Here is a 15,505-nt window from a genome sequence, read left to right as displayed (position 1 = left end):
TTTCCCCAACCACCTCCAACCTTTGGTAATCACCATTCTATTCGCAACTGCTTTGAATTCAACTTTTTTAGATTCCATATATAAGTGAGATCATGTGGCACTGGTCTTTCTGTGCCTGGCTTATTTCACTTAGCATAATGTCCTTCAGGTTCATCCATGTTGCTGCAAATGACAGAATTCCCTTCTTTTTTAAGGCTGAATGATACTCCATTTTGATTGTGTGTGTGTGTGTGTGTGTGTGTGTGTGTGTGTGTATAACATTTTCTTTATCCATTCATCTGTTGTTGGACACTTAGGTTGCTTTCATATTTAGCTATTATGAATAATGCTACAATGAACATGGGAGTGCAGATATTTCTTCAACACACTGATGTCAATTCCTTTGGATATACACCCAGAAATAAGATTGCTGAATCATATGGTAATCCTATTTTTAGTTTTTTGAGGAACCAACATACCTTTTTTCCCTAATGGCTGTATTAATTTACATTCCCACCAACAATGTAGAAGGGTACCCTTTCCTCCACATTCTCTCCAACACTTGTTACCTTTTATCTTTTTGGCAATAGCCATACCAACAGGTGGGAGGTGATAGCTCCCTTTGGTTTGATTTTCATTTCCCTGACAATCAATGATGCTAAGAGTTTTTTCATATATCTGTTGGTCATTTGTATCTTCTTTTGTGAAACGCCTATTTAGGTCCTTCGCTGCTTTTTTCAATTGGGTTGTTTTCTTGCTATTGAGTTGAGTTCCTTACATATTTTGGATATCAGCCCCTTATCAGACATTTGATTTGCAAATGTTTTCTCCCAATCTATGGATTATCTCTTCACTCCATTAACTGTTTCCTTGGCTATGCAGAAGCTTTTTAGTTTGATGTAATCTCACTTGTTTATCTTTGCTGTTGTTGTCTGTGCTTTTGAGGTCATACTGAAGAAATCTCTCAGGCCATGTCATCGACTTTTCTCCATGTTTTCTTCTAGTAATTTTACAGTTTACATCTTATGTTTAAGTCTTTAATTCATTTTGAGTTGGTTTTTTATATGGCATGAGATCTATTTCATTTTTCTGAATGTGGATATCCAATGTTTCCACCACAATTTATTGCAGAGACTGTCCTTTCTCCATGTGTATTCTTGGCACCATTGTTGAAAATCAATTGACTGTAAATGCATTAGTTTATTTCTAGGCTTTCTATTCTGCTCATTGGTGGATGTGTCTTTTTTTATTCCAATATCATGCTGCTTTGATAACTATAGCTTTGTAATAGGTTTTGATGTCAGGTAGTGTGATGCATCTAGTTTTGGTTTTTTGCTCAAAACTGCTTTGGCTACTCAGGGTTTTTTGTGGTTCCATATATACTTTAAGATTATTTTTCTAGATCTGTGAAAAATGACATTGCAGTTTTGACAGGCATTACATTAACTCTGTAGATCACTTTCAGTGGTGTGAGCATTTTAATAATATTAATTCTTCCCACCCATAAACACAGAATATTTCTCTATTTATTTGTATAACTTTTAATTCCTTAATGTTTTATAGTTTTTAGTACACAGATCTTTCACCTGCTTGATTAAATTTATTGTTTTTTTTTTTATGCTACTGTGTATGGGACTGATTTCTTAATTTCCTTTTCAGATAGCTCGTTGTTACTAAAGAAATACTATTGAATTTTGTGTATTGATTTTGTACCCTGAGACTTTACTGAATTTGTTTATCAGTTACAACAGTTTTTGGTGGAGTCTTCAGGGTTTTCTATGCATAAGATCACGTCATAAGCTAACAAACAATTTCACTTCTCCCTTTCCTATTTGGATGCCTTTTCTTTTTCTTGCGTAATTGCTCTGGACAAGGACTATATTGAATAGAAATTGTTTGAGTGAACATCCTCATATTATTTCTGATATTAGAGAGAAAGCTTTCAACTCTTCACTACTGAGTATGATCTTAGTATGGGCTTTTTATATATGGCCTTTATTATGTGTTGAGGTGCATTCTTTCTGTGCCTAATTTTTTTGAGAGCTTTAATCATAAAAGGATGTTGAATTTTGTCAAATGCTTTTTCTGCATCTATTGAGATGATCATACAGTTTTGTCCTTCATTCTGTTAATGTGATATATCACAGTTCTTGATTTGCTTATGTTGAACCATCCTTGTGCATCCCAGGAATAAATCCCACTTGATAATGGTGAATGATTCACTATAGATTCATATTATCCTGGCTTGCTTAGAAAGGGTATAATATTTTCAGGTTTCTCAACAGCATCAGGGTCATCTATATTGGGAGAAGCTGTGTTTTGACAGAAAAAAAAACAGTAATTTGAGATCACACATAGTTGGCTCTCTTGTAAGAACTTTATATTAAATAATGAAGCAGTTACGTAGTAATAACCCACATGCACTTCTATGCCAACCAGAGATTAAATCCATGAATACCACAGACACTAATATATTTATGAGGTTAAGGCACAAGAATCCCTTAAACACGGGAGGCAGAGGTTGCAGTGAGCCAAGACTGTGCCACTGCACTCCAGCCTAGGTGACAGAGTGAGACTCTGTATCAAAAAAAAAAAAAAAAGCAAATTAAAAGAGCAAATCATAAATGAAACAATTTGCCATGTATGGGAGTTTTGACAGTCACTAATGCTGTTCACAAATATCTCTGGCTTTTCTCTACTCCTGGCAATGATAGGATGGCAATTCCCTCCCCTCAATGGCATCATATGTGGCTATGTGAATTGCTCTGATCAAGGATATATGACCAGAAATGATATGTGCCGAAGACTTATGAGCTGCTACAAGACTCACCATGCTCTCCTTTTTCCTCTGCCACAGTGACAGGCAATACCCTAAGTGGTGGGCTGCTCCCAGAACCTAGACCCAGCAGTGAGGATAACACAGAGAGAGCCTCCAGCACAACCACAATGATATGTATCATAAGCAAGAAAGAAATTTTTGATGTTTTAAGACATTGATACTTGGAGATTGTTACTGCAAAAATCTCAGCATCCTGACTGATACTAATACAGAGTAATTTATTCATAAATATTTATTGAGCACATTCTTCGTGTCAGGCACTATGCTAAGTGGTATGAATAGAATAATGTTTAAAAATCAATCTCTGACCTTAGGCATTTACAAGCTAGTGGGTAGGACAGAGAAGTGATAAAATATACAATTGTAATTAGTGTGATAAGTGTGATAAAGTGCTGTAATTGGGACAAGCATTTAGTGCAAAGGACCCTAAAGAATGAGTTCCTCAAGGAGGTTACTCTAAATTGAGAATCACAGAACAAATAATTTTTTTTCCCAAAATAACTGATCTCTCAATTAGGCCAAAGTAGGTAAAATATAGTGCTGTTTTAGATACTCTATAAATAAAGTGATAATAAATAATCAAAATATACTCTTCAGCTGGTCCAAATTCAAGAGACCCTACAGAGAACTGCCAAGTGTACTAGTCTGCTACAGCTCCCATGACATAGCATCACAGCCTGGGCAGCTTAAACAGCAGAAATGTATTTCCTCTAGTTTTGGAGGCTAGAAGTCCAAGATCAAGATATCAGCTACATTAGTTTTTCCTGAGGGCTTGTCTCCTTGGCTTATCGATGGCCATCTTCTCCTGTCTAGAAGAACATCTTCACATGGTCTTCCCTCTGTGTACGTCTGTGTCCTCATTTCCTCTTCTCATTAGGACACCAGTCATATTGGATTAGTGCCCACCCTGATGGTCTCATTTAAACTCAGTTGCCTCTTTAAAGATGGGTTCTCAAAATACAGTCACATTCTGAGGTAGAGGGAGTTACGAATTCAACATATAATTTGGGGACAAAGGGCATAGACAGAATTCAGCCTCCAGAACCAAAGCTGGCCACAAACTAAATGCAGGATGCAAAGGGGGAAAGGAGCACCAAATCACAGCAAAGCTGAAGCCCTGAGATCTTGTAAAGATGGTGAGTCTGGGTAGTCAGAAAGGGTGCCTATTTGGTAAGGAAGACAAACTGAACCTTATTTTCAAGCCACAAAACCTCAGTTGGGAGCAGGACATTCCACTAGCGATATCCTGAAGGCAAATCAAGAGAGGATGCAAAGGTAGAGTGAAATATCCTAAATTTGAAGTCCACTTATTTTATAACTAATCAAGACAAGTTAATTATCCCAAGAAAAATAGTCTTAGACACTTAGAATATAGTGTATATATTTTCTGGAGCTGCAAACAAATACCGTAGTTGAAGAACCAAAATCAAGTTATGATAAACAATTAGCCAGATACAAATAATATATGTGATTGTTTACAATAAGAAGAAAGTAAATGAGTAATCCAAGAAATCAAAAGGGCAGTTTTGAAGCCACAGAGACAATTATTTTATAATAACTACGAATTCCAATGTGTAAATTTTACATGGAAATGATACCTAAACTGAGTAAATCATACCGTCAAATAAACTGAACAGAGAAACAAAAGAATATTTTCCTGAATATAAAAATCCTACCACATTTCAAAAGCAATATAAAAACAGATATCTAATCTATAAAGTGTTGGTGAATAATAACTCCGAGGAGAATGCATTAGATGGCTTGACATAACTTATTAATAAAGCCCTTCAAGTGCTACAAATAGCCATTATTTATAATATTTTCATGAATATCCCTGTAACTAGGAGGAAGCTTCTTGTTTAAAATGATAATAAATCTGAAATGAGTGCTACCTCATTCTTCTTCAAGTAGGAATCTATAAACAAAAATCATAAAGAAAAGGTTGTATATTTTGCTTTAAGATCCTAGAATTATTAAGTTTAAGGGCAGATTATAATTGAATTGAGCACAGGCAACTTTAAACTTAGTAAAGCTTTCTTCTTGGCTCGAGTTAGGGCAGAACACAGATACAGTTTATATTAAAAGATCAATTTCTTTGAGTTATATGCCATTGCCTCCTGTATACTGGATAACATGGTATTTAAGAAAATTCCGAGATAAACAAAATCCACAAGAAGAGAAGAAAAATTGTGTGGTGAAGAAAGTATTAAATTAGAAGTCAGGTAACCTGAATTCAAGCCCAGGCCCTCTACCATTTACTCTCTGTGATCAGTATAATCCATCATCCTTGGACAGATTCTTTACTTCTATAATGGGGATTTTAAAAAACTACCACACAGAGTTACAGTGAAGTCTAAATAAGATAATGCATGTTAAAATATTTTGAAAACTTTCAGTTTTAATGATACAAGATATCAGTTATTAATTGTTCAAAATTACTGACAATCTGAACACCATAAAAGATGGGTTGTCATGGTTAATACAACAGACAAGAATACTGCCTGACATTCCAGTTGCAGGTGTTTCAATACCACACACAATTCAGAGAAAGGTACAATTCAGAGCAAGGTACAATTCAGAGCAAGGTACACAAAGCCCATTGAAATTCTGAAATTTCCATAACCAAATTCTATAGTAGACTGTGCTCCTAGCTATAGAAAAGCTCATATTATTAGGCAGATATTGACCGGAAAACATTTAAATATTGATAATTAAACCCAAACTGTGAATTGGGTCATCCAAGGCGACAATATTTTTTAAATCTCTATTCAACTAATTAATTAAATGAATTGCCTCAGAGTTCCCTTTGCTATGAAGTGTTTCTCAAAAGGTAATATGCTTATGAATCACCTGGGGATCTTTTAAAAACACAGATTCAGATGTAATAGGTCTGGGGTAGTGCCTAACATTCTACATTCCTAACAAGCTTCCAGATAATGGTAAAAACTGCTCTCTATAAAGACATAGTTTTAGAGGAATAATCAAGACACAATCTCATCCAAAGAAACTGATATTTATTGATTAATGTTAAGGTTATAGTGATAAATGTAGGTGTTTAACCATTTGTGCCCTCAAAAATATTCAAGGAAGGATATTCTTCTATCTTTAAGACAAAAAACTCTCAGCCTTCAAACAAGACTCTGTTTAGCACCTGAGGAGATCCAGAGTTAATATAAGAAAAGTTTTCCTTACTTCTGTGCCCAAATGCAGCAACGTGGGGTAGCCCTTCACTAACCTTTGAATATAAATTAGGCTCTGACCAGCAACTTCACTGTCCATGCTCCATGTATAGAGTATATTGATCTTCTTTCAGTCAACGGCAAAGTGCCCTTTTATCAGACACTGGCTATCCATCTAAATGGGAAATTATCTGCCTGATGATTCCTGTCCAAAACCCAGTGCAGACAACTGCTATTCTACAGGGAAAATCTAAGTAGATTTCAAATTTCGTTTAGTAATAAACCCTCTTGTCAAATAAAATTCTGCACTCAACTCTAATACATAAAATAGTGTTTTATTAATATAAGTTTAGTTCACATTTAAAGAAAATGACGTTGTTCAGATGGACTCCTCAAATCTTTACATTAGTGGTTATAGTTGTCAGCTGTGGCCACACCAGCCTTACTATCCAATCTGTCTTCGTATTTTGTTGTTGTGGCAAATATTAAAATAATCCTAAATCACACAAGAAATTAATCTCAAATAATAGCAGCTGTCATACTGCATCCTCAGAATTGTCATCACTAAAATAGAGATGTCGGTAACATATTTTATAACAGTTGCTTTTTTAAAGTGGTTTAAAATATTGTTTAAAAAATATTTAAACCATGTGGTACATATACACCATGGAGTACTATGCAGCCGGAAAAAGAATGAAACCTGATCCTTTGCAGCCACATGGATGTACCTGGTGGTCATTATCCTAAGCAAACTAATGTAGAAACAGAAAGCCAAATACTGCTTGTTCTCTTATAAGTGGGAGCTAAACATTGGGTACACATGGACATAAAGATGGGAACAATAGACAGTGAGGACTACAAGAGGGGGAAGGGTGCGGGGGACAAAGGCTTAAAAATTACCTACTCAGTATCATGCTCACTAGCTGGGTGATGGGTTCAACTGTACTCCAAACTTCAGCATCACACATTATACTCTTGTAACAAACCTGCACATGTACCCCTGAATCTAAAAGTTGAAAAAAAGAATGAATAAATGAATTAAAACAAATTTAAAGCAAATTAAAATTAAACATTTGTAGAGACCCTCTTTTGTCCTGCCATCTACAGAACCCAGTTTGAAACGCTGATCTAAAAGATATCATAACTTCCTCGCTGTGGTTACCTTAGTTGGTGTTACCCTGTATTAAGCCACTTCATCAGAAAGCTACACACTTGGAACATATTGTTCTGTAGAACACCATATATATAACTAAGATTTAGCTTTCTACTTTCCAAATTAATCAAAGGATAACAAGAAATGCTATATGTAAAACATATTTTTACAAAATTTATAGTAATGACATAGCCAACCCAAGCTACAAGACGACTGGAAAATGTAGTCTCTAGTTGAGAGGTCTGATGGCTGCTAAAACTCAAGGAGTTCTATTTCTAAATGAAGAAAAGAAAAAAAAATGACTATTTGAAGACAATTAACAATCTCTACCATGAGGTTATATGTTTTCCCCAAAAATTCTCCATTTGTCCCAAAAAATGGCATTTACACCCGTCTTAACTAAATAAAGATCTAATGCAGGATCCTGCATTGTTGTGATCCCTTAAGGTTGAATATTTATGTTGGCATAATAGTCACCTCGATTGGTGATGAATGAATGTTTTTCTCACTTTGGTTTTTATACTGATGCATAACAGATGTACATATTTTCAGGGTACATGTGATATTTTGATACATTCGTATGTGTAAAGATCAAATCAGGGTAATTAGGATACCCAACACCGTAAATATTTATCTTTTCTTTGTGTGAAGAACATTCAAATTATTCTCTTCCAGCTATTTTGAAATGCATAATAGTTTATTGTTAACTACAGTTATCCCACGAATCTAATACTAGGTCTTATTTCTTCCATCTAACTGTATGTTTGTACTCATTAATCAATCTCTCTTTATCCCCACTCCTCCTCCTTATCCTTCCCAGCCTCTAGTAACCACCAATCACTTTAGCTTGCTTTTTTTTATTTCTAATATAATTATGGACTCAAGATTTTCACATATTTGATATGTTTTAATATAGTACAATCATTATTTTTTGAGGCTCAAATTTAATGCTCATATTAAAATAACTGACCAGCAGGAATCCCTTTCACCTGGTTCCTGTGTCCTTTGTTAAAATTGTGGTAAAATAACATAACATAAAATTTGCCATTTTGGCCAGGTGGGGTGGCTCATGCCTGTAAATCCCAGCACTTTGGGAGGCAGAAGTGGTCGGATGACTTGAAGTCAGGAGTTGAAGACCAACCTGGCCAACATGGTGAAACCCCATCTCTACTAAAACTATAAAAATTAGCTGGGCACGGTGACACACGCCTGTAATCCCAGCTGAGGCTGAGGCAGAAAAGCTTGAACCTGGGAGGCAGAGGTTGCAGCGAGCCAAGATCGCGCCACTGCACCCTAGTCTGGGCGACAGAGCAAGACTGTCTCAAAACAAACAAAAATAATGCCATTTTAACCATTTGTAAGTGTACAATTAAGTGGCATTAAGTACATTCATGCTGATGTGCTGCCATGACTACTATCCAACTCCAGAACTTTGTGCCCTTTTAAGTCAACCTCATTATTCCTTGAAAGATTCCCTGCATATGAGATGTTGAACACTTACCTTTCACCTTCTTTACCCGAGTCTTCAAATCATCTATTTCTCTGAGAAGCCCTGATTTATTTTAATGAGTAATGGTATTAGACATTGTATCAGTCATATTGTCACAATAATGCAATAAAACAAATTACACAATTTCAGCAGCATGAAATGATAAGCATATAATGCTAACACATTTAGAGTCACCTAGGAGTAGACCAAATGGTTCTGCTGATCTTTGCCCAACACTTTCATATATTTTGGTGTTAGATGACCGTCTGGCAACTTAGAATAGCTTTGGCTGGTACAGATGAGGAGACTCAATTTAGCTCCACTTTTTTTTTAACATCCCACTGACTAGCCTGAGTATGTTCTCATGGTTGAGGCACAAGACCAAGCAAGTCCAATTTCCCAATTGCTTTATTTTATTGTGGTAAAAACATGAACATAAAAGTCACCATTTCAACCATTCCAAAGTGTACAACTGACTGGCATTTAGTAATACCACAATGTCAGACAATCATTACTACTATCTCTAGTTCCAGAACATTTTCATCACTGCAAAAAGAAATCTCATACCCATTAAGCAGTAATTCCTCATTTTCTCCTCTCCCTCAGTCCCTGGTATTTTTTTTCTTTTTTTTTTCCACATTAACAAAAAAAAGGTCTTGCTCTGTCACCCACGCTGGAGTGCAGTGGCACAATCTTGGCTCACTGCAGCCTCAATCTCCAGGGCTCAAGCAATTCTCCTGCCTCAACCTCCCGAGCAGCTGGGACTACATGAATGCACCAACATGCCCAGCTAATTTTTGTATTTTAATAGGGACGGGGTTTCGCCACGTGGCCCAGGCTGGTCTTGAACTTCTGGGCTCAAGCGATCCACCTGCTTTGGCCTCCCAAAGTTCTGGGATTACAGGTGTGAGCCACTGTGCCCAGCCACTCCCTGGTAATTAACTAACCTGCTTTCTGTCTCTATTTTGGCTATTCTGGATATCTCATGTAAATGGAACTATGCAATACGTGGCCTTTTGTATCTGGCTTCTTTCACTTGGCGTAATGTCTTCAAGGCTCAGCCATGTTGTAGCATGTATCAGTACTTCATTCCTTTTCATGGCTGAATAATATTCTGTCTCATAGAAGATACCCATTTTATTTATCCATTCATCAGTTGATGGACATTTGGACTGTTTCCATCTTTTGACTGTTATGAATAGTACCTCTATGAACATCTGTGTACAAGTTTTTTACATCTGTTTTCAGTTCTTTCAGTTATATATACCTAGAAGTCATATGGTAATTCTATGTTTAACATTTTAAACATCTGAGAAACTGTTTTCCAAGCAGCCACATGGTTTTACATTCACACTTACATTCACACTAGCAATGTGTGGTGTGAAGTGGTATCTTATGCTTTTGATGTGCATTTTCCTAATGACTTATGATGTTGAGCATTTTTTCACATGCTCATGTGCCATTGGTATAACTTTTTTGGAAAAATCTCTACCAAGTCCTTTGCCCATTTTTTTTAATTTGGTTATTTGTCTTTTTGTTAAGTTGTAAAAAATGTTTATATATTAGATTGAAAGTCTTTTATCATATATGTGATTTGCAAATATTTTCTTCCATTTGGTAGTTTGTCTTTTCAGTCTCTTGATAGAATCCTTTAGTGCACAAAAGTTTTTAAATTTGATGAAATCCAATATACCTTTTTTCATGGCTTGTGCTTCTGCTATCATATCTAAGAAACCATTGCCCCCACCCCCAGAATTACAAATCACAGATCTCATGAAGGATGTGTCTCTAGAATATGCTAGAACTGCACTTGCTGTCTCTCTCATCAAGAGGTAGGGTCGATTTCCATCACCTTGAAACTGGGTAACTTGCTTTGACCAATAAAATATGGTAAAAAATGATGCTGTACTAGCTTGCAGCTTTGCTCTTAAAAAATACTACCAAAAGAGAAAGGCCACATGGAGGATAACTGAGTTACCCCAACCAATAGTCAACACTGCAGTCCCAGACATGAGACAGGGGCAGATGATCTTGCATGCTAGACCATCTGCCAAGTGAACAAACCTACCTAAGGAACCCCAGCCAACACAACATGCAGCAGAAGAACCACTCAGAAGCCTCCTAGAATCACATGAAATAAAAAACCGTTGTTATTTTGAGTAGTGTAGATGAAATATTAGTAAGATCTACCAGTGATCTTAGATTAAATTAATGCACCATCCACTTACATGTTGACAGAAGTTCTAAAAAGGGAAAGTCATGAGATTCCTAAAGAAATGGCAAATATTCCTTGATGTTTTGACTTTCTGGAGTCCTACATGCAAAAGCAGGGGAAAATATGCATACAAAAGTTTTCCCAACACTCTATTTGGCTCATTTAAAATTACTCAAATTTACTTTTATTCACTTTACTAAAATTACTTCAAATTTACTCAAACTTACTTTTAAAAATTAATTACAAACAACAAACTTCTCTCAAAATGAAAAAGGGTTTTTAGATATAACTTGGAATTGAGTTAAAACTGCAATCAGATATGAAATTCACAGATGCAAGAGATTTAAATCGATTAGAGAAGCTGTGGCTTTATGAAAGTCTCTTTAAGAGACGTCTCCAAGGCATATAATGATAAAAGTTAATAGAAATCTCCAACATGGTTTTCAAAAAGAGTATTATTTAAAACCATTAGTATTAAACTTTAAAGCTCTATAGTACCAAGTTATTTTGACTTATGGGAAGCAATCTAAAAATATGAATGCACCTAAAGAATTTCAAAAATTATAGCTAGGAAGTCTTCCAAAGACCAAAAAAAAAAGGGGGGGTGGGGTGGGGTGGGCATTATAAGATTTCTCAACAGAATTTTATTTGAAAGTTAATGTCACTTCAAAATCACTTCTCTGCATGACTGAAAAGTGAAAAGACTGCACTTCATGTTAATATTCTTCAAAGCATTGTTTTAAATTCTATTTTTCTGTGCTAAGAAAGACAATTAATGCTAAGCCACAGTAAAGTGTTATGTTCCAATTGTACAGATTTGTTACTTGCAACGTGTCAGAGGGAAAGAGAAAAGGGGCTATTGAAATCTAATGAAAAACTGCAGTGCCTAATAGAAAGAGTTTTTCAAAATGTTATCGGTGAGCCCACAAACTAAAAGTTCCCTGTCTCTAATTTGTTTCGTTCTTAAATTACTTTTAAACTCTAGACTTGAGAAGAAATAGAATCAAACCCCGAACTTTCAAAACTTTTATAAAATATCAGTGAATATCTTCATATGGCATCCCTCAAGGATTCCTCATTCTATATATTGTATTTTCAAAAAGTCAAGTAAACAACAAGCACTGTCTTTAAAATAACTTAAAAGAAAGCAAGTGTGCACTACTGCTTCCTGGTACAGAGTTATCTATTAACTTCCTGTGCCAGAAACCACCTCAAAGATCTTCAGAAAAGAAAACCAAGAGGTTATATATGCCTCAATATCATCTATTATTGTCAGGTTTCTTCTGTAACAACTCTCTTTAAATCAAAAGAAAAACACAAAGCCAAAAAACATTAAAACTACTTAATATAATTTCAGTTTCTTCAACAGCTTTATCAGCAAACAATTAAATATAATTTGAGTTATTTTTAATACGAAATATTTTAAAGTATAATGAAATGTTTAAATGAAAAATATTTAAGTATATCAAAATATTTCCCCAGAAATTTTGAATAGACTGAAGTAGCATGGAATCTTCAAAATATACAATCTTTGCTCTTGTTGCTGTGGTAGAAATGATGTCACACCCATTTTTTCCATCCATTATTAGATGTCAAAAACATTATAAATCCACTGATTCAAAGCACTTTCCTAAACACAGAAGGAAAAAATTCTTATATTCAAATTAAAAGGACATTTATTATAAAATACTAATGGATGAAATTTTTTTTCCTATATTAGCCAGTCTAAAAAGAAATGTGAGACCCATGGATGGGGACTGAAGAGGGCCCATACTGGCTAATGTTCATTCCTTGGGCAGTTTGGAATAATAGAAGGAGCATAGCCTTTGGAGGCACTAAGTCTGGGCTCAGGTCTTGGCTCTGCCAAGTCTTGTACCATGTGATCTGGGACAAGAACACTTAGGTCCCTGCACCTCAATCTCTTCATCTTTAAAATGAGGCAATACTACCATCAGTTTCAGTAGGTTCTTAGGATTACTATAAAAATGACTATAATATTACTATAGTAATTCATTTAATTTACTTTAATTCCCATAATAATTAAAGGATCAAACTAAAATACAGGACAGGACATCAATGACATAATATTTGGAAGGTAGGTGATCAGAATTAAATTGTTCTAAAGCCTTTCTATCATTTGGAGAAAAGGTTAAGATATTTAGATTTTGTTAAGCATGTATGGTAAAATTTCAAGAGTTTTCACACAGATTGAGGGAAAAAATAAGAAGAAAATAAATTAACAAATAAAAAATGCATTCAATAAAAAAGGAGAAAAACAACTAAAATATTTAAAACAGAGCAAAATGTGGATAAATACCACAAGTTCAGATATTTCATTGGTCATAATGGGGTAAGTAGTTTAGATTTGCCATGTAAAAAAAAAAAGAGATGGATTCAATATTAAAAAAAAAAAAATCACCTTTGTGCCTCAGGCACATATAAGCAAAAGGAAAGTGAGGTTAGTGATAGACTTTAGGACAAAAAGTATCATTAGAGATGGAATAATTACACAGTGGTAAAGTTTTTATTTACTTATAAGATTTAAGAATTCCAAGTTTATAGGTAATTCATCTAATAGCCTCAAAATGTAGAAAGCAAAAATAAACAGAGTTACAATAGCCAGAATAGGTCCTGAGTGACTGCAGAGTTGCCACATGGTCAGATTACATTTCTGGACAGAAAACATATAAGTTAACAATTTTAAATACAATAAGTATATAGTGGTTCAACAAAATAAACATTTTTAAGCACTTCAAACAAGGTAGGTGGACTCAGATGCTGGAGATACAGTGATAAAAAGTTAGCTTCTATAGGAGTTCATGATCTATCTTGAACACATGTAATACATTATAATGTGACAAGGAAAGTATAGCAATAAAAGTATGCTCAAATTGTTATAGGATTAAGAGATGAGTTGACTTTGTCTAAATCAAAGATTTTCGGGGGGTGGAGCTAAGATGGCCGAATAGGAATAGCTCCAGTCTACAGCTCCCAGTGTGAGCGACGCAGAAGACGGGTGATTTCTGCATTTCCAACTGAGGTACCAGGTTCATCTCACTGGGGAGTGTCAGACAGGGGGTGCAGGACAGTGGGTGCAGTGCACCGAGCGCGAGCTGAAGCAGGGTGAGGCATCGCCTCACCTGGGAAGCACAAGTGGTCAGGGAATTCCCTTTCCTAGTCAAAGAAAGGGGTGACAGACGACACCTGGAAAATCGGGTCACTCCCACCCTAATACCGCACTTTTCCAACAGTCTTAGCAAACGGCACACCAGAAGAGTATATCCCACACCTGGCTCGGAGGGTCCTAGGCCCACGGAGCCTCGCTCATTGCTAGAACAGCAGTCTGAGATCTAACTGCAAGTCGGCAGTGAGGCTGGGGGAGGGGCGCCTGCCATTGCCGAGGCTTGAGTAGGTAAACAAAGCAGCCAGGAAGCTCGAACTGGGTGGAGCCCAATGCAGCTCAAGGAGGCCTGCCTGCCTCCGCAGACTCCACCTCTGGGGGCAGGGCATAGCCAAACAAAAGGCAGCAGAAACCTCTGCAGACTTAAACGTCCCTGTCTGACAGCTTGGAAGACAGTAGTGGTTCTCCCAGCACACAGCTGGAGATCTGAGAATGGACAGACTGCCTCCTCAAATGGGTCCCTGACCCCAAAGAGCCTAACTGGGAGGCACCCCCAAGTAGGGGCAGACTGACACCTCACAGTACCCTCAGAGGGTACTCCTCTGAGACAAAACTTCCAGAGGAACAATCAGGCAGCAACATTTGCTGTTCACCAACATCTACTGTTCTGCAGCCTCCGCTGCTGATACCCAGGCAAACAGGGTCTGGAGTGGAATTCCAGCAAACTCCAACAGACCTGCAGCTGAGGGTCCTGACTGTTAGAAGGAAAACTAACAACCAGAAAGGACATACACACCAAAAACCCATCTGTAAATCACCATCATCAAAGACCAAAGGTAGATAAAACCACAAAGATGGGGAAAAAAACAGAGCAGAAAAACTGGAAACTCTAAAAATCAGAGTGCCTCTCCTCTTCCAAAGGAACACAGCTCTTCACCAGCAATGGAACAAAGCTGGACAGAGAATGACTTTGACAAGTTGAGAAAAGAAGGCTTCAGACGATCAAACTACTCCAAGCTAAAGGAGGAAGTTCAAACCCATGGCAAAGAAGTTAAAAACCTTAAAAACAAATTAGACAAATGGCTAACTAGAATTACCAGTGCAGAGAAGTCCTTAAAGGACCTGATGGAGCTGAAAACCATGGCACGAGAACTACGTGACGAATGCACAAGCCTCAGCAGCCAATTCAGTCAACTGGAAGAAAGGGTATCAGGGATGGAAGATCAAACGAATGAAACGAAGTGAGAAGAGAAGTTTAGAGAAAAAAGAATAAAAAGAAATGAACAAAGCCTCCAAGAAATATGGGACTATGTAAAAAGACCAAATCTACGTCTGATCGGTGTACCTGAAAGTGACAGGGAGAATGGAACCAAGTGGAAAACACTCTGCAGGATATTATCCAGGAGAACTTCCCCAATCTAGCAAGGCAGGCCAATATTCAGATTCAGGAAATACAGAGAATGCCACAAAGATACTCCTCGAGAAGAGCAACTCCAAGACACATAATTGTCAGATTCACCAAAGTTGAAA

The 15,505-nt window shown here is 36.5% G+C and overlaps 1 long non-coding RNA gene across 13 annotated transcripts in view, besides 2 other annotated features; it reads right to left on the bottom strand.

The window, feature by feature from the left end:
* The window catches only part of LOC105370461 (uncharacterized), a 433,650-nt gene that overhangs the window by 212,526 nt on the left and 205,619 nt on the right, over positions 1-15,505 (bottom strand). Inside the window, exon 1 of one of the 13 annotated variants that reach the window (XR_001750722.2) lies at positions 6,902-6,996. The exons of the other annotated variants lie outside the window; for them this stretch is intronic. This is a non-coding gene — a long non-coding RNA (uncharacterized LOC105370461). Of the gene's footprint in view, positions 1-6,901; positions 6,997-15,505 lie in introns of those variants that run through there. 13 annotated transcript variants of the gene reach the window in all.
* Positions 13,600-14,100: an enhancer, noted in NCBI's record as "H3K4me1 hESC enhancer chr14:40108577-40109077 (GRCh37/hg19 assembly coordinates)". NCBI's record gives its function as "activates a minimal SCP1, AML or CMV promoter by ChIP-STARR-seq in primed H9 embryonic stem cells {active_cell/tissue: H9 hESC(primed)}" and the evidence as "EXISTENCE:reporter gene assay evidence [ECO:0000049][PMID:30033119]".
* Positions 14,101-14,601: an enhancer, noted in NCBI's record as "H3K4me1 hESC enhancer chr14:40108076-40108576 (GRCh37/hg19 assembly coordinates)". NCBI's record gives its function as "activates a minimal SCP1, AML or CMV promoter by ChIP-STARR-seq in primed H9 embryonic stem cells {active_cell/tissue: H9 hESC(primed)}" and the evidence as "EXISTENCE:reporter gene assay evidence [ECO:0000049][PMID:30033119]".

Source organism: Homo sapiens, chromosome 14 (assembly GCF_000001405.40).
Source record: "Homo sapiens chromosome 14, GRCh38.p14 Primary Assembly".
In the NCBI taxonomy this organism is placed as follows: Eukaryota; Metazoa; Chordata; class Mammalia; order Primates; family Hominidae; genus Homo; species Homo sapiens.
Note: the sequence above shows the minus strand (reverse complement) of the source record. Positions and strands in the feature narration are given on the sequence as shown.